The sequence below is a fragment of the Homo sapiens genome, chromosome 8 (genome assembly GCF_000001405.40).
Source record: "Homo sapiens chromosome 8, GRCh38.p14 Primary Assembly".
NCBI lineage: Eukaryota > Metazoa > Chordata > Mammalia > Primates > Hominidae > Homo > Homo sapiens.
Genome location: NC_000008.11, coordinates 139,748,644 through 139,776,441, shown reverse-complemented (window position 1 = coordinate 139,776,441; position 27,798 = coordinate 139,748,644). Strand labels below are relative to the sequence as shown.

Sequence of the window (27,798 nt, the reverse complement as noted above, 5' to 3'; positions counted from 1 at the left end):
TGTGTCTTCACCCTGGTGCCACCCCATCCTTCCCAATTCGTTGTGACCTCTCTTTGGGTCACGGAGGACAAACCGATCAATACTATGTTGTGACGAGTGAGATGACGTCACATAGCAGCTGACGTCCCCTGTTTGGGCCTGTTGGCTTTGCCTGGAGTGGCTGAGTTCATCTGTGCGCTGAGTCATCTGACTGGGAGGCTGCAGCCTGGCGTCCCTGTGCAGGAGGCCTGCAGGATGGAAGGAACCCTGTCGGGGAGCCCAGAGACTGAGGCTGGGTCCCAAGCCCCCATGACTAGCACGTGGTCCTGGCAGAGTCCAGCCTCGTCCTCTTGTCCTCAGGAAGGAGGTTGGTCAGGGTTGGTGGCTATTGCTCAAGACCTCTGAAGGTGCCTGGTGAGAGGAGGAAGACAGCTCAGAGCCAGAAGCAACAGAAGCTGGGAGGCTGGCCCAGGGGCTGCCTTGCTTGTCAGATGCATGGCCCAGAGACACTCTCTGGAGTGGACCTGCCTTGGGTGTGCCCGAAGGCGGAGTTGACTCTCATCTGTGGAAATGGACGAGGGCATTTCCAGGCACACGGCACTTTGAGGCCCAGGTACTGGGCAGGAAGGACAGATGGCCACAGAGAGCCAAGCACTTCATCTTGACCATGGCCAGGCAGGCCTCCGAAGGCTCCAGAATTTGGGCTTCACCTTGTAGGGCAACACGAAAAGAGGGAAGTGGCCAGCTAGGGGGATGTCGGGGTGGCCCCAGCCTGCCAGACTCACAGCCTGGGCTCTGGGCTCACACCTGGTGAGGCCAGGCCATATCTATGGGGGAAACCAGGCTGGCCTCAGATGTCCTCGGGACTCAGCCCTGGGCTGCCGCCGTGCCCCCAGTTAGCCCACACCCTTCCCCTGGAGATGTGGCCTCGGCCCCTTGACTTCCCAGCGCCCCAGAAAAGCGGTCAGTGATTTCTAGCTGAGAACAACACGCTCTGGGCCCAGCCCAGGCCAAAGGCCTTTTCTTAAGCATTTCTGGGAAAAGCAAATTTATCAGCCTGTGCAAAGGGAAAATGTTTACAGGAATGGAAGACACAAAGGGAATGAATAATCAGGGCTCGGCTCGGTCTCCAGAGACCAATATTCTCATCTAGTTTGCTTTTATTAGAGAAGCAAGCAAAGAGAACTCACCCTGTGACTGGGAGTCAGCCCCTCAGAGCTTCCGGACTGGCAGGCGGGAAGGGGCTGAGGTCCTCCCACCTGTTGTGGACATGGCCCTGTGAGCCCCTGGGTGGATGTGAGTCTGTGCAGAGGCCCAGGGTTCCCCAGAGTCCCGCCCAGTCAGGGCTAGGTGCCCCACAGACCCGGACAGCCCCAAGGATGCTTCCTGGGCCCACTCTGGCCCTTAGACATTCTTGGGGACCAGAGCCCCTTTGGACCCCTTAGTGGCAGCCTGTGCCCCACTATCTGGTTAAGCATTGCATGAGGCGACATGATACCATCCGGGCGTTCTGCTCAGGTTCTTGTTCCTGGGACTTGAAGACTTTGCTGTTGATGCTGTGTGTTCTCTGTCCCCCTCCGGGCACTCCCAAAAGTGTGTGACATCGACAGGGATTAGGGCTGGGCCAGAAGAGCAAGGTTGGTTCCTAGCTCTGCCCCTTACCTGTCCACTGGAGAGATTCTGCTCCCTTGCCAAGTCTTCCTATCCTCATCAGGAAATGACAATTTCAATAATTAATGATAATAAGACTCAGCTCAGCCTTGCCAGGAGAAGCCCTCGTTCCTCCGGGAAATGTTGTGGAGCACCTGCTCCTGGCCATGTGCTGCTTCTGGTCCTGGGGAGGCCGAGGAAACATCGCACTGTGCTAAGGCAGGTGAGCCAGGGAGGGAGGACGCGGCACAGCTGCTGTCGCTGGCGGTCAGCGGGAAGGGGGTCTCTCCAGGCAGTGATGCTTGTGAGTGGACAGTGAAGGTCATGGGGATGAGTTTGTGTTGGGGGAGGAGATAAAGCTGCCCCAGGGTGTGCACACATGCACTCACACACAGACACACACTTGCACGCACCCGTGCAGACACACGCACACCCAGCCCTTCCTGAGGCTGGCCAGCCCACCGCGCCCCCAGTCCCAGCCTCCATCCTCCGGTTTCTCCTGAGCCCCTTCCAGAGCCTTCCACCTGTCCCTACTCGGTGTCACCACCCACAGTCTCTTCTCACAGGGCAGCCCGAGTGGCCTGTGATCCATAAATCCATCTATGACCCTCTGCTCAGCCCATGCCGACTTCTGTCTCACTCAGGGCAGGCGTGGGAGCTTCGTGGGGCCTCCTCCTTCTTGCCGCCCCAGTGGCCTTCGCCCGCGTCCATGTGGCCTGGGGAGCTTGTCTCTCTCCCACTGCGCTCTCAGCAGCCTGCAGCTCCAGCCTTCCCCAGGCTCCTGGTCCAGCTCAGCACCGTGCTCCTCTCTCCCCTCGCAGCCGGCCTGGCTTTCCTTCGTAGGGTCGACCGCTGTCCCACGTGGGAGATGATGTTTGGATGTTTTCTGACTTCTCCACTGAACATGCGTGCCGTGAAAACAGGCACTTTGTCTTCCTATGTTATTTATTTTTAGACATTTTAATTTTCTTTCTAGAAGGGTGCCTGGCACATAGGAAGAGCTGAATTGAGAGTCGCTGGATGAATGAATGCATGGTTGATTGGTTGGTCGGTTTCAGGCAAAGGTTCCGCACACACAGAGGACTACAGAGGTGGCTGATGGGTGGTTTTGCTGCCGGCTGGAGTGAGCGGGTGGTGAGGGACTTTGAGGCAGGTGGCAGATGCCTGGGAGCCAGGGTGGGGGCTGTGGGGAAGGTGCAGGCTGGCGTGGGGCATGGGAGTGATGGTGTGGTGAGCAGGAAGCAGCTGTCACTGTCCAGCTCAGCCTAGCGACCCAGCTGTCCCAACGACCTCTGAGGTCCGTCCACCGGGGAGGACTCACCCCATCATCGCCTCCATTTCCCTTCGGGGCAGTCGCCTGTTCAGGCTGCTGATTCCCCCACCCAGTGCCGTCTGCTGCACTGCCTGCTCCCAGGGAGGCTTTCAGGACAAACTCCAGGAATGTAGCCGGGGCCTCTGGCAGCCGTTGGGAACTTTGTCTTCATTTGTGTTCATTTTAGTGATCCCACTGGTGCTAAATACTCTCTAGCATTCACTTTGGATTTTCGTTGAAACCTGTTAGAGCCATCGGCACGAGGAGGGACAGAGGCAGAGACCTGGGCGCGCCAGGCGTCCTGCTGGGTGACTAACCCCACACAGCCCTACCTGCTGGGTAGGTGCAGCCACGTGACTCCCGAGGCAGCCAGTGCTCCTTCAGAGGCGTGGTCCTGCCACGGGACCCACAGCCACTGCGAGGTGGCCCAGGGCACAAACTGTGGGCCTCCTGGAGGGGTGCCTCACTGGGGCTTTAGGCTGGAAAGGAACACAGTGACCTCAGCCTCCAGCCTCACCTGCTTCATGAAGCTGCTCTGCAGGGATTCACTTTGCATTCACTTTGCAAATGTCGGCAGCATTGGTTTCTTCTGAGGCCTCACTCCTTGGCCTGTAGACGGCTGCCTTCTTCCTGTGTCTTCCCTCTGTGTGTGTCTGTTTTAATCTCCTCTTATAATGACACCAGTCCGAGAGGATTGGGCCCATCTTGGGCCTCATTTTACTTTGTATGTCTAAGGTATTGTACTGGGCTTTAGGGCTTCAACATGGGAATTTTTGGAGTCACAATTCAGCCCCTAACACTAGGTGTCGTATATGTTAGTAGACATTTAATAGAGCTGCACAAAGATTAGAATAAAAGTGAGCTATGAGCTCTGCGTTTAGATAACCCCTGGGCTCAGCTGTGGCCCTGGGAATTTTATGTGTAGCCGACTCCAGGCAAGGCAGTGGGGGTGGCCATGTGCACCCCGAAGGCAGACGCCTGGGGAGCTCACAGGCAGAGTGTGGGACTTCTCAGGATCCCAGGAGCGTGGGCTGGGATGGTGGCCATGGCGATGGCTAGAGTGAAGGAGTTTGGGGACTGTCAGATGAGTCCCTGATGAGGCCCCAGCCCCCATCTCCTCATCTGTAAAATGGGATAATACTCTCCCCTCACTGGGTTCCCATGAGGTGATGTGAAATGACCTCTTTGTAGCACCAGGCACCAGTGGGGCACTCAGTCTGGGCCTCTCCCTCTGCCCTGCACGGGCCTGTAGGGCCACAGGCACAGACCTGTGCATCAGTGGGTTCACCTGGAGCATATTCATGCGTGTAAGCACATGTGCACACGTGTGGGCCGTTTGGCTTAATGATCACCTTCCATGTGGATCCCAGGTGATGTGAGAAGCAGGTTATCTGTAGGCCTCAGAGGTTGGCGGGCTAGATAGATAGCCCTCAGCAGCATGTGGTAGCCAGTGCCCCATCCATCCTCCACACCAGGCCGCAGCATAATTAAGTCTCCATTAAAGGGGCTGTCACTGTGAGCTCAGATATCTCCCTTCTCAACAAACCTAGCCACCCAGATCCATGCTGGGCGGAGACTTCTCCCTGTTCCCTCTCTCGGCAAGCCAGGAGGGCTGTGGGCACTGAGTCAGGCTCCTGTGTTGTGTCCTAGAGACACACCTGACCCTAAAGGCCGAGGGTGCCTGGCCTGGCCAGGAGAGCTGCAGGAGCAGGTTTGGGTCAGCCCAGCCTGGCGGCTCTGGGGTCTGCGCTGTCTGCACACACAGGCTTCAATCACTGACGCGCAGATTCTACTTCCACTTGTCACAAATATCCGTGTGGTCCTCAGCGCCTACCACTCGTGTGGGGTCTGCTGCCACTCCCCTCTGTGAAAGTCACTTCAGATGATCAGCAGTGGTCCTCCTGGCTGCACTGTCCTACGCTTCCATGACCTGGCCAGAGCTCAGCTTTCTCTCCTGCATGTTTTTTATTTCAAAACCTACCCCAAGGCCCCTATTTCAGAAGAGCTGGCCAGGGTTGCAGGCTTCAGAGGCATGGATGAGTAGTGCCTAGACACTCTGGGTTCACATGGACCCCTGGCTTCAACTGGCATACACTGTGTTTCTACACATGGGATCCGGCGTCCTGGGCAGGGCTTCATGATTGGCTAGAAATGAGTGACAGGAGGCGCCAGGACTGATGCCAGGTTTCTTCTGAGAGTGCTGGGCGGCACCGTTCTCTGAGATGGGACTTTGCAGAAGGAGCAAATGTGGCAGATAGATGATGCGTTAAGTTTCAAAAGAGATGAGTTTGGGGCCCTAGAGTTTTCTGGGAGCCAGTCTAGCACCAGGACTGGAGGTGGCTGGGAAGGAGGAGTTCCCTGCCCTGCAGGTGCACAAAGGATCTGAGCTCCCCCTTTCAGCTCCCAAGCAGGCAGAGGCATGCTCAAGGGCTGACCACACAGCAAGTTCAGTGTCTCCAGCATGTTGGCGTCCCTGGGGGTACACTTTCTAGACCAGTTCCTCTACCCAACCCTCTTCTCCACTTGTCCAGGGACTCCTGCGGGAGGGTCCCAGAAGCCCAGACGCATCAGGAGAGGCGTGGTGACTCTTCCCTACGCCCGCCAGGCCCGGGCAGGGCCAGCCTTTGTTCAAGGTCTCTGGTGGTGGGACTGTCCTCAGCTGCCTTCCTGCACTACTGTCTTCTGGAATTTTCCTCCTGCCTGCTGGGGTCCAGGTTGTTGAACTTGTTTTCCCCACCACGCTAAGGGCTCAGTCCATCTCTGTGAGGCCTCTCCTTTTCCATTTTTAAGTCATTGAATTTCTTACTGTTTCTCATTAGTGATGTCCCCCAGCTCTGTGGCCTCAGGAAAAGAGCATCTGCCATGGTTTCCTCCCTCCTAGAGCACCAGACGCTGGCTGAGCTGTCCACTGGGAGCTCTCAGTTGAGGCACTGTTTGCGCAGTTTCACGATGTCACAGAGCTGGAGAATGATGGGGCCCCGTGGGGACCCAGGCCCATCTCGCCAAAGCAGCTCCCTGTGGAACCTTTGTGAACCCGTGCCTGGAGAACTTCACTAAGATGACACTCCCATTGTGAATCCCTAAAGCCTCAGACACCAAAGCCTTCCCCGCTCTGCAAAGGAGCAAAACATGGAAAGAAATGTGAGTCTCAAAATGCGGGGAGCCACGGTGAGGACCGGCTTCCGGGAGCCAGGGCTTCTTCAGGTCGAGGTCCCAGCCCAGCATACAAGGTCGGGAGGTGGCAGCAGAACCTCTCTCCGGGGCGTCTGGGCTCCATTGTCACCACTGCCCTCTGAGCCAGGCTGCCAGGAGTAACGGGCTGGCAGCGCTGTGGGTGCCTTAGGAAATGAAGGGTCCTGAAGAGACCTGCAGTGCAGATGGGAGACCAGCACTCGGGATTGGGCTTTCGCTGGTGTCTGCCCAGGGTGGCCAGGGTCTTCCAGGCCAGCGCAGTCAGTGTGGCCCACAGGGCCTGGCCCACCACTGGCGGGTGGCAAAACCTGCCTGCCCCGTGCCCCCAGTTCCCTGCCTTCCCTGGGGAGTTGCAGGAGCTAGGGTCACAAGTGTCATATTCACTGCTGTGGCTCCAGGGTCCAGCACCCGGCAGGCACCAGATCCTAGATGCTGAGTAAATGACCACTTCCTTTATGTATTTCTTCTTCTTTTTAAGCATGTTTTAAACAATTTGTACAAATCAGTATAAAAGTAATTCATGCTCTACCTAAAATTTAGTGAATATTAGTTCTTCCACTCATTTTCTCTGACCTATGAGATCTAGGTTACTGCTTATTTTAAGCCTTTGGATCATTACTATTCAATCTTATTTTTATTCTTCACTTTATTTTTGTTTGTATTCTGTGTTTGCATTTGCTTCTTTCTAAAAGTATCTGGAAGTGCAGCAGTCCTCCCTTATCCTCGGTTTTGCTTTCCTTGGTTTCAGTGACCCTCGTTCAACCATAGATTGAAAATGTGAAATGGAAAATTCCAGAAATAAACAATTCGTAGGTTTTAAATTGTGCAGTGCTCAGAGTAGCATGGTGACATCTTGCCCGTCATGCCCTGCATCTCCCTTTGTCCAGTGAATCCACGCTGTGCACATTCCCCACCCTGAGCCACCTAGGAGGTGTCTGCCGTCAGATCAGCTGCTGTGTTGTAGTGCTGGCATTCAGTCACTCTTATTTTACTCAATTGTTCTTTTGTGTTATTAGTTAATATTGTAAGTCTCTCACTATGCCTAATACATAAGTTAAACTTTATCATAGGTATGTATGTCGAGGAAAAAACATAGTGTATATAGGGTTCAGTACTATCTGAGGTTTCAGCCGTCCACTGGGGGTCTTGGAACCTGCCCCCGAGGATAACAGGGTTACTGTAGTAGTTTTTCTAACAAAGCACTACAGACTGTGTGGCTTAGACAACAAAAAGTTATTTCTGACAGTTGTGGAGTCTCGAAATTCATAGAAATTCAAGGTCAAGATGTCGGCAGCACTGGTTTCTTCTGAGGCCTCGCTCCTTGGCCTGTAGACGACTGCCTTCTTCCTGTGTCTTCCCTCTGTGTGTGTCTGTTTTAATCTCCTCTTATAATGACACCAGTCCGAGAGGATTGGGCCCATCTTGGGCCTCATTTTACTTTGTATGTCTTTGAAGGCCCTGTCTCTAAATACATTCCCCCCCGAGGTATTGTACTGGGCTTTAGGGCTTCAACATGGGAATTTTTGGAGTCACGATTCAGCCCCTAACACTAGGTGTCACGTATGTTAGTAGACATTTAATAGAGCTGTACAAAGATTAGAATAAAAGTGAGCTATGAGCTCTGTGTTTAGATAACCCCTGTTGATGAATTAAAATGAAAACGGAAGTCATGCTCATTGTAGAAAACTAACAATTGGAGGTGAACACAAAGAAGAAATGGACTATTACCAGAAATCCCACCATCCAGAGATGGTGACCACTAACAGATAGGTATGCAGCTTTCTAGATGATTTTCCAGGTACATATTTTATTCAAAATTAGACATCACTGAAAATATGGCCAGGGTCTTCCAGGCCAGCGCAGTCGGTGTGGCCCGCAGGGCCTGGCCCACCACTGGTGGGTGGCAAAACCTGCCTGCCCCGTGCCCCCAGTTCCCTGACTGCCCAGGGAACTGCAGGAGCTAGGGTCACAGCTGTCATATTCACTGCTGTGGCTCCAGGGTCCAGCACCTGGGAGGCACCAGATCCTCAATGCTGAGTAAATGACTGCCTCCTTTATGTATTTCTTCTATGCTTTTACTTAATATGTAAAACTATGCTTTTACTTAATATGTTCCATGCCAAATCTACATGTAAATTATGATTTTTAATGGCTACATAGTATTCCTTTATGCAAATGTTCCAGAAAGTATTTAGCCCATCCCCCCATATTTTTGGACTATAGGGAGTTTTTAGTTTCTCAGTGTTACAATACTGCCCATATTATAAATCTGGCCATATTAATAATGTTGTATTATAAATCTGCCCATATTAACAATGTGAATAGACCCTGAGTCAAAGGGTCTGTATATTTTTCAAGGCTGTTTGCTACTTGTGAGGTTGCCCTCCATAAATATTACAGCTTTTAGACTCTAATCAGCCATGTATGAAAATATCCATTTCCCTTGACTCTTGCCAGCAATAGCTTTTATTTTCCTTAAAAATCTATGCCAGTCTACTAGGCCAAAAAGAATTGTGCTACAGTCTCTCAGCCTGCATTCTTTGATTACTGGAGAGGCCTGGCGCCTTGCCACGTGCTCATCAGTGGCTGGCGTTTCTTCTTTGATGAAGTGCTTGTCCTGCTTGTTATTTCCACTTCTCTGTGCAGAATCTGGGCCTGGCCAGAGGGGCTACTTGGTGCAGCTCAAGCCCAAGCCTCTACCTCTGCACCTTGGTTCATCTGTTCCCTCCATCTGGAATCTTCTCTCCCTCCCCCTTCCACCCCCACATGCACCTGCCAGCATGTTCCTCCTGGATCCGTCTCACCCAGCATTGGAGGCCTTTCACTCCCTCCCACTTTGTCTGGGACGGAGCCCTCGTGAGGACGGGATGCTGCCCTCGTGAGGATGGGATGCTCTGTGGGACAGCCATCCTGTTGGTGTCAGAAGAAACGGATCCTCCTTCTCTGGTAGCAGTTTGCATTTTCTACCCGTGTTGATGAACTTAGCTCACTTCAGAAAACACAGGCAGAGTGGGAAAAGCAAGGCTTTGGAGGCGCACAGACTTGGCTCACATCTGTGCTGTACCCTGTCTAGCTGTGTGATGTGGGCTAGTCCCTACGCCTCTCAGAGGATGCCTTATTTGTTATATAAGAAATAGTAATTCCTGCCTCGCCAGGTCTCCACTAAATCAGATGATGTGTAAAGCACCTGGAGCCATGTGGTAGCTGACACGTGGCCTTGTCATCATCAGGGTCCTCGTTGGCGTCCTCAGCAGGCATAGCAGGGGGCACAGTCCAGGGGGCATGGTCCAGCAACTGCCAGCCGGGCCCTGTGCCAGGGCCGCACTCCAGGGGCTCACAGTCATGTGGTGGGCACAGACATGCAGGTGAGGACGCAAGAGAGCATATGATAAGTGCTGTAGCCACAGGTCTGCGGGACGCACAAGACAGCAATTCCCTCAGGAGAACAGGGATGATTCCCAAAGGATGTGACATTCCGTTGGCTTGGGCCTTGAAGAAAGTGTTCTTAGGAGGAGCCAGGCGGGGAGCTCTTGTGGGCAGAGGGCTGAGCCTGAGACCGATCTGTTGTCTCCCTCCAGTGAGTGACCTCAGGAGCGGGGACCTTAATGATAGAAACTGTGTGTTGAGCACCTTGCATGGAAGGGCTGCTGAGTCCCCACGTGATGCCGGTTAGGTCGTTATCAATGAGGAGGAGCACCTGGGGCCGCGTGTGCACTCCCAGGTCCTGATCTGAACACAGGTCTGATTCCAGAGCCCCTGGTGCAGAAGTCAGTACATATTTATTGAAGGACTTAGACAGAGCCACAACTTGCATTTGGGGAATCAGTTGTGACATTTTAGAGGCAACCTGGGGAGAGAGGCTCCCAGAGCACAGCCACTGTGCCAACTGTTGAGGTAGGAGGATCATGATGGGCACAGGGAGGCCAGGCCCAGCCTGGGGGCATTACTGCAGCATGAGGGGCCACAGGGGTGTGGAGCCAACTGTGGATGGCCAGACCCCAGTACGGGAGCAGAGACACTCCCTGGCCTGCCCCCTCCTTTTACAGATGGGCTGAGCCTGAGCAGGTGGCAGACACGCCCAAGGACACGCATCCCGTCAGGGCTGGCAGAGCTGGTGAGGGAGCCTGAGGCTGTCAGAACTCCTCTTTCTTTCCATCTCTGCGCCCTAGTGTTTGGGGCCAAGGGGATTTGACAGGTTCCCTGAGGCCTTGGAATAAAGAAAGCAAAACATTTCACTGTTGGATTACTTTGCACTTTAGCTGTTGCATCTATGGAAATTACACAGTGATGATGTTTGTGCTGGTAGCCCTTTGAGAGATAAAGCTTCAGGGCCACACCTGCGCCCTTCAAGGCAGCCCCAGCAGCGTGAGGTCAGATGGGGGAGAAGCCTACCTACGTGTGCCACCAGCTCACCGCCCTGGCACAGACCCCGGCTGGGGATGAAGTGTGCCCTGTGCCAGGCTGGGTGATCCAAATTCAGTTGTGGGAAAGAGCTCTCCTGGGTTATACCTCGGAGGCAGACTGGCACAGGCTTGGCATTTCAAGAGCACACATCTGTGTGTCCACTCCTATGGTTGTTCCTGCCTCTGCCCCCAGACCCTCACCTCCGTACCCCACACAGGGTCCTCTGGCAGCCTTCTGGGAATCCCAGCCCCTGTCCTTCATCAAGGGCCTCTGGAGCCTGCCACCACTTCACCTGCCCAGCCCCTTGATGGGGGTTCTGACCTGAAACCAAGAAAAGCCCTCCCTTCCTTGCCTATTTCTAAACTGTTCTTCCCTTAACTCTAATCCTCTTGCCCTCATCTCTCCTCCCACCCACGGCCACCCTGTCCTTTAAGATATTGGCTACTAACCTTCTGGAGCCTCAGAGCATTTTGATGATTGGATGAAAGCTTTGGACTATTTGTCTAGGAAAACGCAAACCCACACATGTCCACACAATAGTGCTGTCCCTCGAGGGCGTCAGTGACCCTGTAGCTGGGGGAGCTTTAGGAATCCCATTCAGTGGGGTCTTCTTGACCTCAGCCTGGCTTTTCCTCCCTTCTCCTACCAGAACTTGGGCAGTTACCCAGGTCCTGTGGTGAGGTCCGCCTCTGAGCGATGGGATGGAGAACAAACGAACCAACTGGAGAGAGTGTGTTTGGGGGGACCAGGCAGCAGCCCCACCCTTGGGTGCATCTGTGGGTGCTCGTTCCAGCCTGAGCAGGTGTTCAGTGGATCCTCATGCAGGAACCCAAGCGTTGGCTTGGAGAGACTGGCAAGAAGGTGACGGAGTGTCTCCTTTAGAATGAATTGTCTTATGTGGCCTGAAGACCTACTGTGCCCTGGGATGATGGAGACGATGGTAGGAGAGAAGGCAGAGTGTCTAGATAAGTATTGCAGAGAGACAGGAGTGCGGTTCTGGGACGAGAACCGAGTACTTGCTGCCACGTTTCAGTGTCTTCTTCACTCCTTGTATGCTTCTTTCCCCAACACATCTGCAGACTGGATGCACCGGACCGTGGTGGGGAGTGGGCAGCTCAGGGGTAGGGGTCACCTCCTCTAGCCGGTCGCCTCACTGATCCAGATCCAGCTGTCTTCCTACACATGCCCTACGTACACACCAGGACAGGGACGCCTCCAACTTGGGGTTTCCGGTCATTAAGTGTGGAGCCTGGTGTGTCCTTGTGAACACAGGCATGCTCTGAAAAGTGAACTGAGGCCACAGTAAGACAGGCCACAGGGGGCAGAACCACCTCAGCTGAACCCGTGTCTCACTCAGTGCTGGGAAAGCCATTCTGCCGGCACTAGAGGGGAATGAATTATTGTGCCTGCATTTTAAGCATGTCCTGGATGATGGTTGATGGCCTTTCCATGGCTTCATAGGTGATCCCTCTGGGACACAGCTTTGCAGCCCTGCCCTGCTCCCTGGTCTTTCTTTCTGGACTGCTTCAGGTTCTTCAGCAAAGATGTTGTGGCATCTCCTATCACAAAATGCCACCATCTCCTGTGATCCACGTCCTCCTGCAGCCACCCCATTTCACTGCCCCTGCTACAGCCACACGGACTCCAAGGTGCCACCTCTGCTCATTCCTCCTCTCCTTCTCCCCTAGCTCTCTCGAGCACACCCACCCCAGGCTGCAGCTCCCACCACTCCATCCAGACAGTGGATGTGTCACTGTGGCCTCCATGCCAACACAGTCCCCACACCTGTGCCCTCACCGTACTTGCCATCACTGATAGCTCCCTCCTCCCAAGGCCCTTCTTCACTTGGCTTCTGAGACACCGTTCTCCCTGGGGTCACAACCCCCCATCGGCAGACCTACCGTGTATCTAATGAGCACTTCCACCTTCACAAGGCCAAGATCAAATGCTCGATACTGCTAACCTCCCGAGTCCTAGTCCTCCTCGGTGTCCCCAGTTGTCAACGGGCAGTTCTTCTGGCTGCTGAGGCCCAACACCTGACCCCTTCCACACTATGCCTGCTCCATCACTGGCCTGCTGGAACATGGCCTGACCTGACCACTTCTTAGCTTGTACAGCTTCGACCTGGTCTGAGCCACTCCTCGTCTCCCCTGACCCACGTGGCAGCCTCCAGCTCCCTTTATCCTGTCCCCGCTTACCAGCACCTGAATGATCGACGTGTGTGTGCACGCGTGCGTGCATGTGTGTGCATGTGCCTGTGTGCACATGTGTGCACGTGTGTGTGTGTGTGTGTGTTTATGTGCATGTGTGCTTGTTTGTTTTCTGGTTTCTTCTACCAGAAGGAAGAGACTGGAAGCCATGGGCGTTGTTTTGTTTGTAGAACCTGGCACAGTGCCTAGCACGTGGTGACTGCTCAGTGAATATTTGCTATGAGTGAAGGAGGGAGGGAGGGAGGGGACTAACATGTCCCCACGGGAGAGGGGCTGTAGCTTCCATCAGATTTTCAAAGTTCCCCATGACTCAATAAGGAATTAGTTTTCTAGATAAATCCATGGGTCTTTTTCATTCATTCCAAAGGCGAGGCCTTCCTGTAGTCATAGTGAAAGATCATGAGCTTTATATTCGCCAGAGCCACGTTTTAATCCCCACACTCCTCTGTGGTTTTAACCAAATGGCTTACCCTCTCAGCGCCTTGTTCTTTTTCCTCTATAAAGCCTGGCTTCCAGAGTTATTAGGAAGACAAAAATGAGTCGCTTGGAAAATGCCTATTGCTGTATCTAGCACCTGGTTAGTGCTAAATTAAGGCCCTCTGGGGGAATTATTCCTGTTCAATCACAGAATGAAGAAGGCTTCAGCCAGTCCATAGCAGAGACCCGTACCCCACTTCCAGGAAGCCAGGGTGAGCACTGGCCCTGCCCCGGCTGCAGCTGCAGCCTCATTCTCAGACCCGGTGCAGGGCATGTGCAGTGGCTGCCCTGGACTGCGCTGCTCCACCTCCCATCACCAGGCAACTGAGACTGGGAACTTGGTCCTCATGTTCCTTTCTGGGTGCGTGGTGGGCAACTCAGAGGCAGAATGAGAGGCTGAAGGTCCCGCAGCTGAGACCTGAGACAGCTGCTTGGGGCTCTCCCTTCCCAGGTGCCCTCCGCACCTTGGCCATCTGTTTCCTGGGCACATGTATACTCTAGGGGAGAAGAGGGCAGTGGAGAGGATTAAATTACAGTCGTGCACCACATGCCATTTCAGTCAGTGGTGGACCGCATGTGTGACGGTGATCCCGTGAGATTATAATTCCTTATTTTTACCATACCTTTTCTGTGTCTAGATGTTTGGGTAATACACAAATACTTACCATTGTGTTGCCGTTGTCTACAGCGTTCAGTACAGTCACACGCTGTACAGGTTTATAGCCTAGAAGCAATGGGCTCCACCACACGGCCTCGGTGTGTAGAGGCTTGACCTCCAGGCTCGTGTGAGTGCCCTCTGTGATGTTCACACTAGGACAAATCGCCTAATGACGCATTTCTCAGAACCTATCCGCAGTGTTAAGCTGTGCGTGACTGTATTTAAGAGAACAGACTGTTTTAAAGCACCGTGATTTGCATACTAGTTCTTAATATGCTAATTACACATCATTCTTTGGGTTCTCAGAAGCAGCACTTCAGGACACTTTTGCAGTGGGCCGCTCTGCTTGCGTTAGAGGTACTCCAGGGGTCTTCCTCAGCCCAAATGCAGGCTGCTGAAAGCTGGCCTTCTCCCACTCCTCCAATGAGCATGTGGCAGGCCCTCACTCGGGCTGCAGGGCTGGGTGGCTCAGAGGGCTGTCCTGGGTCCCAGGAAGGAGCAGAGCATCCTTGGGCCTGGGAGCCCAGACAGGGCCGGGTTATAGAGGGACACCTATAGATCCAGGCACGGCTTTGCCTGTACAAGTGTAAAAGAAACAATCTGTTTCTCTCTGTCAAGAATCTTCTTCTGAACTGAGCACCAGAGCATAAACAAGGGGGAGTCAGGGGAGACAAGCAGAAGAAGCAGATGCACACGTGCAGGCAGCCAGGCGTGGTGTGGGAGGGCTTGGAGTTGAGAAATACGCAGGGTGTGGCGTCAGGCCTAGAGAGTGGTCCTGCCCCGTGACAGGACAGCAGAACGGGGCGGGCCTGGGTTCAGGGCTTGGGCCACTGTCCAGTGGGCCGTCCCTGAGGGGGGTGACCCAGCACCTGGAGCCAGGAAGTGGAGGATGGGGCAAGGTCATCAAGTTTGCTGTGTTGACAGCACGCCACGAGCATGACACCTGGCGGAGCTGTGCTGAGGGGTTGGGTCCCAGGTCTGTGGTCAGAATGCGGGGTCATAGTACCAGGCAGGGTGTGGGGTTGGGAGGAGGAGGTGGGCAAGCCAGCACCAGGGCTGGGAGCAGGGAACTGGCGCACACCGCATCATCACTTTCCCGCCCAGAACTCTAAGGGGCCCGGGAAGTCTACATTTTAACTCGGCCTTCTTGGTCGCTACAAAGGTAAATTTGCCAGGAGGATTAAACAAGCTTCATGTCCGGCTGTGAGCTTGATTGGTAACTTCTGAAGATTCAGACGTCGATCTAATGTGGCAGGTGGGTCCACACCTGTGCTCTTGCCCTGCACCCTATAAATGGTGTGTCTGGGCCCAGTTGGTCTCTGTTTCTCCCCCAGCCTTTACCAACAGGTCCCCCAGCACAGGCACCTCATCCCCTGCCCAGGACGTGGTTCAGGGACCTGACATTGCCTCCCTGTGAAGTAAGTAGACAACAGAAAGGCATTCATTTCCAAGTTGCCTTCAAAAACCCTGTTCTTACCTTGGAAGCAGTGCTGTTGGCCCAGGGAGGCCTGTACTGCACCTTGGTGGATTGCAAGAGGCTAAGCAACCAAGTCAGGAAGTGCAGAGACTGTAGGAGATTCACCAAGGCAGAAAGACCCAAGCTACCCACCCCATCTGATATGGTTTGGCTCTGTGTCCCCACCCAAATCTCATTTTGTAGCTCCGGTAATTCCCATGTGTTGTGGGAGGGGCCTGGTGGGAGATGGTTGACTTATGGGGTAAGGTCTTTCCCGTGCTGTTCTCATCATAGTGAGTGGGTCTCACAAGATCTAATGGTTTTAAAAATGGGGGTTTCTCTGTACAAGTGCTCTCTTTTTGCCTGTCGCCATCCACGTAAGAAGTGACTTGCTCCTCCTTGCCTTACACTTCTGAGACAGGCTGGGGTGATCAGATGTCACCTGAGGGCTGGTGGAAGGCGAGGAGCCCTGTCAGATACGGAGGGTGATCAGACGTGGAGTCTGGATAAACCGACTTCGTAGGATTCTCACAAAAGGACAGTGCAGAAATGAATGAGGAAATGTACAAGTTAAGGCCTCATTGAGAAAGAGCTCAGGGAGTCTGAGAGTTTGGTCAAGGAGAGAACCTTCGCTACTTTGCCAAGTTGCTGGATGCCCTTTGGATGATGTTCTGAGCGTGCGGTCACTTTCTGTCCGCCTGAGACAGGCCACCCTGGGAGGGAGGGGCCAAGCAGAGCGCATCTTGGCCCCAGTTCCCACTCCCCAGGGTGGGCCCTCTCCAAGCTGTCTGTCTGCTTTCCTTCAGCAATGGGGGGAAAGCCCCCATTGCTTTCCTTCCCTGTTCTTTGCTGTCTGAATCTGGTATTCCAAGGATGGAGAGCGAAGGGTCCACGTCCACCCTCCTTCCCCTACTCACAGAGCCACACAGACCTGGCCTCGCTGCAGCCCCCAAGCCACTGGAGTAGGTCATATACACTACGCTCCACACCCACATACACTCACACACTCACAACACACAGCACACTGTGCACAAACGCACACATGCATGTGCATGCTTCATGCTGAGATGAGCACGGGGGGTCAGACATGACGGGCGTGTGCTGGTGCAGGGGCCTGGGCTTGGAGAGACAGGGCTGGGAGTTGAGTCCATCCAGCCCCCAGGGACGGCTTCATGGACAGCTGGGTGGGCACTGGTCTGGGAGTCTGTCTTGGAGACAGTGATGGTGCTGGCTGCCGGCAGGCTGCGCTGCCCTGGGCCCTCCCCACATCTGGCCTCCAGGGCTACCTTGCCTCCACACCTGGCAGGACTGACTGGGGGAGGGCAGGAGCGGGTGCCAGCCCTCCTGGGAGCACTGGGTGGCAGCTGGATCTAGAGTTTGTGTCCCCCCAGGGGAGCCCGGCCCCCGTGTCTGCAGTTCGTGTTTCCCAGAGGAGGCTGCCTTTCAGAATGCTCCTTGGCTTTGTTTAGAACAGCGCTCATCTGTCTCAGCCTCGTCTGAAAAATCGCCAGGCTCGTTCCTCTGCAGAGGAACCGCTGTAGCCCTAGATCAAGAAGCCGAGTCTGTCCTCTCCATATCTTTCCGGGCCTTTGAATTCCCAGCAGTCCTGGCATTTCAGCACCGCCCACGTGGCACAGCCCAGGACACCAGCCTTGACCTTTCAGCCTGGCCAAGGTGCCTCCTCCTCTGCCTCTCACCTTCCTCATGGCAATAGTACTCATCTCAGAGGGCAGAGGCAAGGATTCCAGGGGACCATGTATGTAAAGAGCCTAGTGCAGTGCCAGGAAGATGATAAACACTCAGTGAGCGGCAGGTATTCCTCCCCGCCCCTTCCGGCTTTGCCTTCCCTTTCCCAGGGGACTGAGTTCAGAAGCACCCCTGCTAGGTTCAGACTCCAGCTCTGCCATTCCCTATGCAGCCTGGGCAAGTTGCTAACTTCTCTGACCCTCGGTTTCCTCATCTGTGAAATGGGGACAGTCATAGCTTCTAACTCAGAGGGCTGTGGGTGGAGCTGAAGCAGCACCCGGCCCACTCACCAGTTGCCATCAACACCTCTACCACTGCGCATGCTGAGGCGGACCAGAAAGAGAACAGAGGCACCTCTCACTCATGCAGTGTCTTGGGTTCAGTGCCAGGGAGGCCAGGGCTGCCCCTGCCCTTCCACAGTCTCCACCTGGCTCCACAGGTGCTTGGCTAGGGTCCGCTGGAGGATGGGGAGGCAACACAGGCTTTGGCGTCAGAAACCCGCCTCAGCCTCACCACCTGGGACTTGGAGCGATTCCCATAACTTACTTGGCTGATTTGTAGCATAACCCGGTTTCGCTACCTGTCCAGCCTTTTCTCTGCCACTACCTCCACACACTGAAGCTAGGAAAGCTTCCTCAGCCTGCCCCAACCGCCTTCACCTTCTGACACAAGGTTTTCTTGCCCCTGCCTTCGTGGCACAGGTCCTCCTGCCCTGGGGCAACCCCTCCTTCAGGGAGCCTGGCTCAGTAAACATTTTATCAGCTGAACCCACGAGGTGCTTCCCTCGTACCCCGTTTGCCTCCCTGTGTCTGCATCCCCATCCCCTGCCCCCGGCCTCCCCACAGCAGGCAGAAGGGCACCAGGCCTCATTTCTGCATTGGCCTCACCTTCTAGCCAGGGGTATTCCTGGTCTAACTAGTATGAGAGCTAGGATGTTGACAGAGTCAATATGTGAGCCAAGTTCAGCTTTAGTTTCTTTCCTTTGCAAGATAGACAGGATAAAGCCTTCATCACCAAGTAAGAAATGTAAAGCACGCGACGTGGGCATGCTCAGTGTGAGTCCCATTCCACACAGGGCGGTCTCCTCCACAGGCACATGTCCCCACCCCACATAAGCCTGGCATTTGCTCCAGCCCCAGCCAGCAAGTCCAGCGATGGGCACCTCCAGCCATCCCGGCCCTGAGGGGTGACACTGGCTTCCCAGGCCCGAGCGCTTGGCCTCCCCGCTGTCACGGGATTCCCTTCCAAGTGGAAGAAGACAAAGATTAATTTGTTTTTAATTCATCTTCTAATTGCTTTCTTCTCTAAAGAAGGCCTCCACGAGGCCCAGGCCCAATCCCTGGGGCCATGGTTGTTTAAAATAAAAAATGAGGCCACTCGGCAGGGACACATTTTTAATCACTGGAAAAATCCTCCTGGCATCAGGGCATGCAGCCTCCTGGCATGTGACTCCCTGGAGGAAGCCCAGCAGAAAGCGTCCTTGCCGTGGGTTCAGGGATTCCCCCTTGGACAGGGAGGCGAGCCCGCCAGCAGTGCCGACTGCTTGCCTACTAAGCGTGAGAACTGTGGGCAGTGCAGGTGATGTAGAAGGTCCTCTCTGCACTCAGCCCACCAGGCCCCAAGAGACCAGGCCTCAAGAATGAGACAGGCCTGGCCAGTGGCGTCAGAAGTGAATGATGCCTGGGCTGGGGGGACTCCCTCTAGATGGCACTGACAGGCACTGCCAGAGCAGCCACTGGGCCCACTGCACAGCCCACTTCCAGGGCCCCTGCGACATGCCATCCTAATACCCACGCCCCCTGGCTCCTCCGGCGACACGCTGTCCCCATACCCAAACCCTGGCTCCTCCTGTGATCTGCTGTCCTCATCCCCAAACCCTGGCTCCTCCTGCGACCTGCTGTCCTCATCCCCAAACCCTGGCTCCTCCTGCGACCTGCTGTCCTCATCCCCAAACCCTGGCTCCTCCTGCGACCTGCTGTCCTCATCCCCCAACGCTGGCTCCTCCTGCGACCTGCTGTCCTCATCCCCAATCCCTGGCTCCTCCTGCGACCTGCTGTCCTCATCCCCAAACCCTGGCTCCTCCTGCAACCTGCTGTCCTTATACCCCATCCCTGGCTCCTCCTGCGACATGCTGTCCTCATCCCCAACCCTGGCTCCTCCTGCACCCTGCTGTCCTCATCCCTAAACCCTGGCTCCTCCTGCGACCTGCTGTCCTCATCCTCAAACCCTGGCTCCTCCTGCGACATGCTGTCCTCATCCCCAAACCCTGGCTCCTCCTGTGACCTGCTGTCCTCATCCCCAAACCCTGGCTCCTCCTGCGACCTGCTGTCCTCATCCCCAAACCCTGGCTCCTCCTGCGACATGCTGTCCTCATCCCCAAACCCTGGCTTCTCCTGCGACCTGCTGTCCTTATACCCCAACCCTGGCTCCTCCTGCGACCTGCTGTCCTCATCCCCAAACCCTGGCTCCTCCTGCGACCTGCTGTCCTCATCCCCAATCCCTGGCTCCTCCTGCGACATGCTGTCCTCATCCCCAATCCCTGGCTCCTCCTGCGACATGCTGTCCTCATCCCCAAACCCTGGCTCCTCCTGCGACCTGCTGTCCTTATACCCCAACCCTGGCTCCTCCTGCGACCTGCTGTCCTCATCCCCAAAGCCTGGCTCCTCCTGCGACACACTGTCCTCATCCCCAATCCCTGGCTCCTCCTGCGACCTGCTGTCCTCATCCCCAAACCCTGGCTTCTCCTGCGACACGCTGTCCTTATACCCCATCCCGGGCTCCTCCTGCGACCTGCTGTCCTCATCCCCAAACCCTGGCTCCTCCTGCGACCTGCTGTCCTCATCCCCAAACCCTGGCTCCTCCTGTGACCTGCTGTCCTCATCCCCAAACCCTGGCTCCTTCTGCGACCTGCTGTCCTCATCCCCAAACCCTGGCTCCTCCTGTGATCTGCTGTCCTTATACCCCAACCCTGGCTCCTCCTGCGACCTGCTGTCCCTCTACCCCCACCCTGGCTCCTCCTGCGACATGCTGTCCTCATCCCCAATCCCTGGCTCCTCCTGCCACCTGCTGTCCTCATCCCCAAACCCTGGCTCCTACTGCGACCTGCTGTCCTCATCCCCAAACCCTGGCTCCTCCTGTGACCTGCTGTCCTCATCCCTAATCCCTGGCTCCTCCTGCGACCTGCTGTCCTCATCCCCAAACCCTGGCTCCTCCTGTGACCTGCTGTCCTCATCCCTAATCCCTGGCTCCTCCTGTGACCTGCTGTCCTCATCCCCAAACCCTGGCTCCTCCTGCGACCTGCTGTCCTCATCCCTAATCCCTGGCTCCTCCTGTGACCTGCTGTCCTCATCCCCAAACCCTGGCTCCTCCTGCGACCTGCGGTCCTCATCCCCAAACCCTGGCTCCTCCTGCGACCTGCGGTCCTCATCCCCAAACCCTGGCTCCTCCTGCGACACACTGTCCTCATCCCCAAACCCTGGCTCTTCCTGCGACCTGCTGTCCTCATCCCCAAACCCTGGCTCCTCCTGCGACCTGCTGTCCTTATACCCCAACCCTGGCTCCTCCTGCGACCTGCTGTCCTCATCCCCAAACCCTGGCTCCCCCTGCGACCTGCTGTCCTCATCCCCAAACCCTGGCTCCTCCTGCGACATGCTGTCATCATCCCCAAACCCTAGCTCCTCCTGCGACCTGCTGTCCTTATACCCCAACCCTGGCTCCTCCTGCGACCTGCTGTCCTTATACCCCAACCCTGGCTCCTCCTGCGACCTGCTGTCCTTATACCCCATCCCTGGCTCCTCCTGCGACCTGCTGTCCTCATCCCCAAACCCTGGCTCCTCCTGCGACCTGCTGTCCTTATACCCCAACCCTGGCTCCTCCTGGGACCTGCTGTCCTCATCCCGAAACCCTGGCTCCTCCTGCGACATGCTGTTCTCATCCCCAAACCCTGGCTCTTCCTGCGACCTGCTGTCCTCATCCCCAACCCTGGCTCCTCCTGCGACCTGCTGTCCTTATACCCCAAATCCTGGCTCTTCCTGCGACCTGCTGTCCTCATCCCCAATCCCTGGCTCCTCCTGCGACACGCTGTCCTCATCCCCAAACCCTGGCTGGCTTCTCCACAGGTCTGTCCTGCATGCTCCTAGGTTCACTGATTCACTCAGCACAAGTTATCCGAGGACCTGGAGGGTGCCAGGTGCCACACCAGCACTGAGCCAGCAGTGGGAGCTGGGGCAGACGAGGCTCGGAGCTCATGGCTCCCCCAATTACAACGACCTCTCAGGTGACCTCAAGGCTGGCCGAGGGCCATCTCATCACCCCTGTCCTGTTGGCCCCAGGCAGCCAAGACCGATGGCTTTGGCCCGTCCTTCCCAGGGCCCCTGGCAGTGACAGCTCCGTGTGCCGCACAGCTCCTGGGGTTTCCCTGGTAGCCACACCCTGTGTTCCTAGTACGTTTTGCCCGTTTGACAGATGAGGAAGTGGAAGCTCAGAAAGTCACTCAGTAAGTGGTGGGGCCAAGGCTAAGTCTCTGATGAGTTGAATGTGGTTTTGCACCAGCAGGAGACCTGTTTTCAGCCAGGGGAGGAAGATGTGCTGTTCAGCTTGTGACACGGGGTGGGGGCGTCTCTGGAAAACAGAGGCTGGCACGCAGCACCTTCAGGTCAGCACGGTGGGAAGGAGAGGAGGAAGCAGATGGACAGAGAAAGAAGCTGGGCAGGCCCAGTGAGGATTTCAGCCGACCCATGGGAGTTGGGATGGCTTCTTGTTGTTACCCCGAGTTTGGGTGAGGTGAGGGGCCCAGCCTTGATACCCTGTGTGGATCAGTCACCGCATGTAGGTCACCCCAGGAAGGGTCTGTGATCTCGGTCACGGCAGCACCCCTGAATGGAGGCAGTCTTGGAAGGCAGCACCCAGCTGTCTGCAAGCAGCACCCAGAGTGCCTGTGGACTGTGGCTCTGGCCTTGATTGCTGAGGGGCACCTTTTCAGACCAGCTGCACTCCTGGGAGCAGATGTGGGAGCCCCAGGTGATACAAACTGACTAGTTCTTGGTGATGTCTGCTGTTAATTGTGCAGCTGAGACCAGGCAGTCAAAGGGGAAAGAGCTTTGGGGGTCACTCATTAGATGCCCTTATTTCCCAGGGAAGGAAAGCAGGGTCTGGAGAGGGCCAGGCTCCTTGGGAGGTCAGGAGCAGAGCATGGAGCAGCAGCAGGCTGGGGGGGCCTTGGCTGTTTCAATCTAATGGTGGCTGCCACATGGCTTCACCTTTCCCTGCAGAGCCAGCCTGAGCTAAGAACACACTGGATGGTCTCTCTTTTTGCACTTGTCCGTTCAAGATTGAGACGTGCCAAGATGAAGTCAGTTTGATTCAGCAAATATTTATGGAATACCTGCTCTGTGCCAAGGAGCAGGATTGGGATGCACAAACAACCATGATGGGGGTGCTTCAGCTGAGGAGACAGACATGCAGACACCTCGCTGTCCCATGGCCACAACACAGGCGAGGAGAGGGGGGTGGCATTGCCCAGCAGCATCATGTGTTGAGGTGGCAGCGCTACTCATAGAAGTCCTTTCATCCTCGCGGTCACCCTTAGTCCATGTTACAAATGAGGATTCCGGGACTTGTAGAATGGGTGGCTGGCCAGAGGGCCACAGCTAGTAATGGCAGACATAAGGCTTAATGGGACTCATCTGACTCAGGCAAACAAGGAGAGTATGATCAAGGCCTCAGGGGAGCATAGAGAAATCTGGAAGGAGTACAGAAGGCTTGCAGCAATGACTTACTGCATCCAGACCTTGAAGGATAGATGAGCATTCAGCAGCCACTGGGAGTATTTCCCCTGAGGGAAGAGCAGAACAAATCAGTAAAACGGTAAAACGCATGAACGGCTATTGGGAAATCTGATGGGAAGTGAATAAAGGGAGGGAGGAAGGAAAGGGGGATAGATGGAAAGATGAGGGATGGATAGATGGGTGGATGGATGGATGGGTAGTTGTTGATGGATGAATGGATGGATGGATGGTAGATGGGTGGATGGGTGGATGGTGGATGGATGGATGGACGGTAGATGGGTGGATGGATGGGTAGATGTTGGATGGATGGATGGTAGATGGGTGAATGGATGGATGGGTAGATGTTGGATGGATGGATGGTAGATGGGTGAATGGATGCATGGGTAGATGTTGGATGGATGGATGGATGGTGGATGGGTGGATGGTGGATGGTGGATGATGGATGGATGGTAGATGGGTGAATGGATGGGTAGATGTTGGATGGATGGATGGATGGATAGATGGGTGGGTGGGTGGATGGATGGGTAGATAGATGTTGGATGGATGGATGGTAGATGGGTGGATGGATGGGTAGAAGTTGGATGGATGGATGGATGGGTAGATTTTGGATTGATGGATGGATGGTAGATGGGTGGATGCATGGGTAGATGCTGGATGGATGGATGCTAGATGGGTGGATGGATGGATGGTTGGATGGGTAGATGTTGGATGGGTGGATGGATGGATGGATGGTAGATGGGTAGATGGTGGATGGATGGTGGATAGATGGTAGTGGATGGATGGTATATAGATAGATGGATGGATGGATATATAGATGGATGGATGGTAGATGAACAGGTGGTAGTGGATGGATGTATGAATGGATGAATGGTAGATGGATGGATGGTAGAGAGATGGATGAGTGAATGGAGGAATGGTGGATTTTGGATGGATGGATAGATGGATGGTAGATGGACAGTAGATGGATGTGTGAATGGTGGATGGGTGGATGCTGGATTGATGGTGGGTACATGGTGGATAGATGGATGGTGGATGGATGGATGGATGGGTAGATGTTGGATGGATGGTAGATGGGTGGATACATGGGTAGATGTTGGATAGATGGATGGTAGATGGGTGGATGGATGGATGGGTAGATGTTAGATGGATGGATGGATGGACGGTAGATGGGTGGATGGTTCAATTGTGGATGGTGGATGGATGGTAGATGGGTGGATGGATGGGTAGATGTTGGATGAATGGATGGGTGGTAGATGGGTGGATGGATGGATGGTAGATGGGTTGATGGATGGGTAGATGTTGGATGGATGGATGGTAGATGGGTGGATGGATGGATGGGTAGATGTTGGATGGATGGATGGATGGTAGATGGGTAGATGGTGGATGGATGGCGGATAGATGGTAGTGGATGGATGGTATATAGATGGATCGATATATAGATGGATGGATGGTAGATGAACAGGTGGTAGTGGATGGATGTAGAGTGGATGAATGGTGGATGGATGGATGGATGGTAGAGAGATGGATGGGTGAATGGATGAGTGGTGGATTTTGGATGGATGGATAGATGGATGGTAGACGGACAAAGATGGATGTGTGAATGGTGGATGGGTGGATGCTGGATGGATGGTGGGTAGATGGTGGATAGATGGATGGTGGATGGATGGTGGATTGATGGATGGATGGATGGATGGGTAGATGGTGAGTGGATGGATGAATAGTGGATAGATAGGTGGATGATAAATGAATGGTGGATGGGAGACCCAGCCAATAAAATCAAAGGGGCAGCAGCCTGAGGGCATCTCTTGTCTGCTGGAGGATGGATGGATGGATGGATGGATGCTGGATGGATGGATGGTAGATGGGTAGATGCTGGATGGATAGGTGGATGACATGTAGTCTAGAGTTTTTGAGTTTGTGGAGGCAGAAGAGGTTGTGTCCAGGTCTTTGTTCTAGGGTTGGGGCATGGGAGTCCAGATACCTAGGCAGATAGAGCTATATCCGTCACCCTAACTAAGAACCTCACCAAGCTGAGGTCAATGACTTTAGAAGTGAAACAGGGGAGTCCCACCCTGTTGCTAGTGGCCACAAGCTAGTATTGGAAGCAAGAGGGCAGTGGGAAGAATCAGAAATGAGCAAGGCTAGGGCATGGCCCTGGGACCAGCAGCAGGGATATGCAGGGGTGATCTGGTGTCTGAAAGGGCCAGGCTTACTTATATGCCATGGCGGGGGTCAATCCCAGGTGCTGTGGGCCTGGCCCCTGGGCATCCCCAGCCTCTGGACCCCTGAAAAGATGCATTCTGTCTAGTTCTGGCTGCTGATCATTGCACAGCCAAGAAATCCACTGTGATTTCCAGACTAACACCTGACAGAGTTGGGCCAGAGGTTTCAGACCTGTGGCTGGGTGGGCTGACTATGTTGACCTCCCATAACCTTTCTCCCAGGCAGGGCTGTGCTAATTTTAAATGGCGTATTGATTGGCCAGCCAGCCATTCCCTAGGATGACCCCATAGCCCTGCTGGCTTGCCCTGGCACAGCCCATGAGGAAGTCTCCTCCCCTTGTGCTTGGCTGTCTGCAGCCCTTGGGGTGGGCCAGAGACTCCATCACACTGCCTGGCAGAGGGTGGAGGCTCTTGGCTCTAGTGCTGGAGTCACACTTGGTTTCCCTGTGCTCAGCAGGGTGAAGACCCACCTGCTGATGTCACCTGCTGCTGCTCCAGGAAACAAATGGACTCCTGGAGATGGAAGCAGTTGAGAGTGTTAGTGAGCTCTGCAGGTAGAATCCCAGCATAGGCTGGGACCTGTTGAACAGGTGCAGTTTGAATGGTCCCACGGGACTCATCCCAGGCAGGCCCAGGGTGTTCCTGCCCCCTCCGTGCTGGAAAGCTCATTTAGAGAAGCCGCATGGTCTTTGGAGAGAGGCCAGAGGTCTATCCCCAGGAGCAGGGGCCACAAGCCAGCTTTGGGGGTCCCAGCAAGTCCTCTCTTCTCTAGTTCAGGCTGCCTGGAGAGCCCCTCAGCCTGTGCCCAGCACAGCTCCATGGGTCTTTTCATGCTGGGGTGCAATGCAGGGGTGCTGCCTGGCCCTAAGGTGCTCCTCTGCACACTGAGGAGACCCAGCAATAAATACAAAGGGGCGGCAGCCTGAGGGCGCCTCTTGTCTGCTGGAGGTGGCTAGGGTGGAAGAGGACAAAAAGGCACGGTAGACCTGAGCCTGCTGAGGCCTGGGGAGGCGTGGTTTGCCTCCAGGGTCTGGTAAACCAGTATTCATTCTCAGGGTGGCTGCCATAATGGAGAGCAGGAATCCTGTGCACATCTGGGACCCCGGATTAAATTAATACTTGCAGCTTTTGGGGTGCTCAAGCCCCATCAGAGAAGCCTGGGGAGCAGGGGAGGTTGGGCAACCCCTGGTGGATGCTTCAGGACTGAGGTGAGGTCTATGCCACACTGGGACAGCCAGGGCTCCTGTGGACCCTCCTGTATCCAGCCCCCACCACTCCCAGCTGAGATGGGATGGGGTGGGGGACACTCCTCACCCGGTCTTGGATTGTGTGGGCCACAGTCTCCCCTGCAGGCTGTGAGCTCCTGGTCGTCTCTGTGTTGCCAGCCCAAGCCTAGGACAGAGGGAGTGTCTGGGCCCATCTCCCTTGACCAGGTCCTCAGGAACCTCCAGGCTGCCTGTGGCCCCGCTTCTAAAAGCTCCTTGCCCAGAGTCTCAGCAGGGAGGTGCTCTCCACTGGGCAGCCCTGCCCCTCCAGTCCAGCACAGGGGCAGCAGCTAACCGCCACCCGCTCATCCAGCTGCCCGGCTCTGGCGGTTCAAGCAGATGGGCCACTAGAAGGTCCTTTTGCACCTCATGTCCTTCCCGTTTGTGCTCTAAGACTTTATAGTTCTATGTGAAGCTTTGGCTGTCACCACATCAAGAGTCTGTTTAACCTCGTAAGCACTGACCCAGCACCAGGCAGGGGTCAGCCCTGGGCTGTGTGAGGACAGTCTGGGGGTACAGGGTGAGAGGGGTTCCCGGCATGCTTCATGACAAGCATGGCACCTTTTCATGGTAGGAAGAAGTTCTGGACATGGCGCCCAGAGATGAGAACATGAAATAGTGAGCCTGTTTGAAACCATTCAGCCCATTGCTCTCATGTGACAATGGGGACGCTGAGGCTCAGATCGGTTAAATGATTTACCTGAGGTCACACTGTAAGCCATTGAAGGGCCAAGGCCATCTTATCGTCTGTCCATTCATATGGCAGAGGTCCCCCAGGAGCTCAGGAGAGACAGTCCCTCAGCAGCAGATTCCCGTGTGGGCCATGCAGGCCATGGCGGGTTGCTGGGGGCTGGATGTGCTTCAGGAAGTCTTCCTGGAGCAGGTGCTGCAGGAGCCCAGCTTTGGAAAGGCCACAGGGAGTCAGCAGGAGGGAGGGACAGATGGAGCAGGGGAAGTCGCAGGGCACTGGGGTGAGAGACCACAGGGGACGTGATCAGACAGCCTTGAACTTGGCCTTGAATACTTTGGAGGAGCAATTGAAGTCGTCATTTCTACATCCACAATCACTTTATGTCTTCTCTCTGGAAAATGTCTTCCTCCTGCTGTCTCCCTGCTGCACACACCAGGAGTCCAGAAACCTGGTTTTCAAGCCTGGACCTACTGCCAGAGTTCAAGGTCTAGAAATCCTGGTGGAGACCCCATACAGGCCCCATACACACAGGCCCTGCTGGGCACTAGGGCCTGGGGGGAGGAAGTGCCAGCCTGTTAGTGGAGGCGGCCCCCTGCCCCCAAGGTAAATGCCCTTCTAGGTGGCACACATGGGCACAAGGTGCAGAATGCCGAGGGCAGCAACAGAGGTCCCTGGGAGGGAAGGCTTCCAGGGAGGAGAGGCTGCGCTAGACACGCCAATGGCAGATGCCCAGGCAGAGCCAACAAGCAG

The 27,798-nt window shown here is 55.1% G+C and overlaps 1 protein-coding gene across 10 annotated transcripts in view, besides 2 other annotated features; it reads left to right on the top strand.

Moving 5' to 3' along the window:
- The window catches only part of TRAPPC9 (trafficking protein particle complex subunit 9), a 730,855-nt gene that overhangs the window by 682,138 nt on the left and 20,919 nt on the right, over window positions 1–27,798 (top strand). The gene's annotated exons all lie outside the window — the stretch shown is intronic.
- Window positions 3,865–4,492: an enhancer, noted in NCBI's record as "H3K4me1 hESC enhancer chr8:140784193-140784820 (GRCh37/hg19 assembly coordinates)". NCBI's record gives its function as "activates a minimal SCP1, AML or CMV promoter by ChIP-STARR-seq in primed H9 embryonic stem cells {active_cell/tissue: H9 hESC(primed)}" and the evidence as "EXISTENCE:reporter gene assay evidence [ECO:0000049][PMID:30033119]".
- Window positions 26,036–26,536: an enhancer, noted in NCBI's record as "H3K4me1 hESC enhancer chr8:140762149-140762649 (GRCh37/hg19 assembly coordinates)". NCBI's record gives its function as "activates a minimal SCP1, AML or CMV promoter by ChIP-STARR-seq in primed H9 embryonic stem cells {active_cell/tissue: H9 hESC(primed)}" and the evidence as "EXISTENCE:reporter gene assay evidence [ECO:0000049][PMID:30033119]".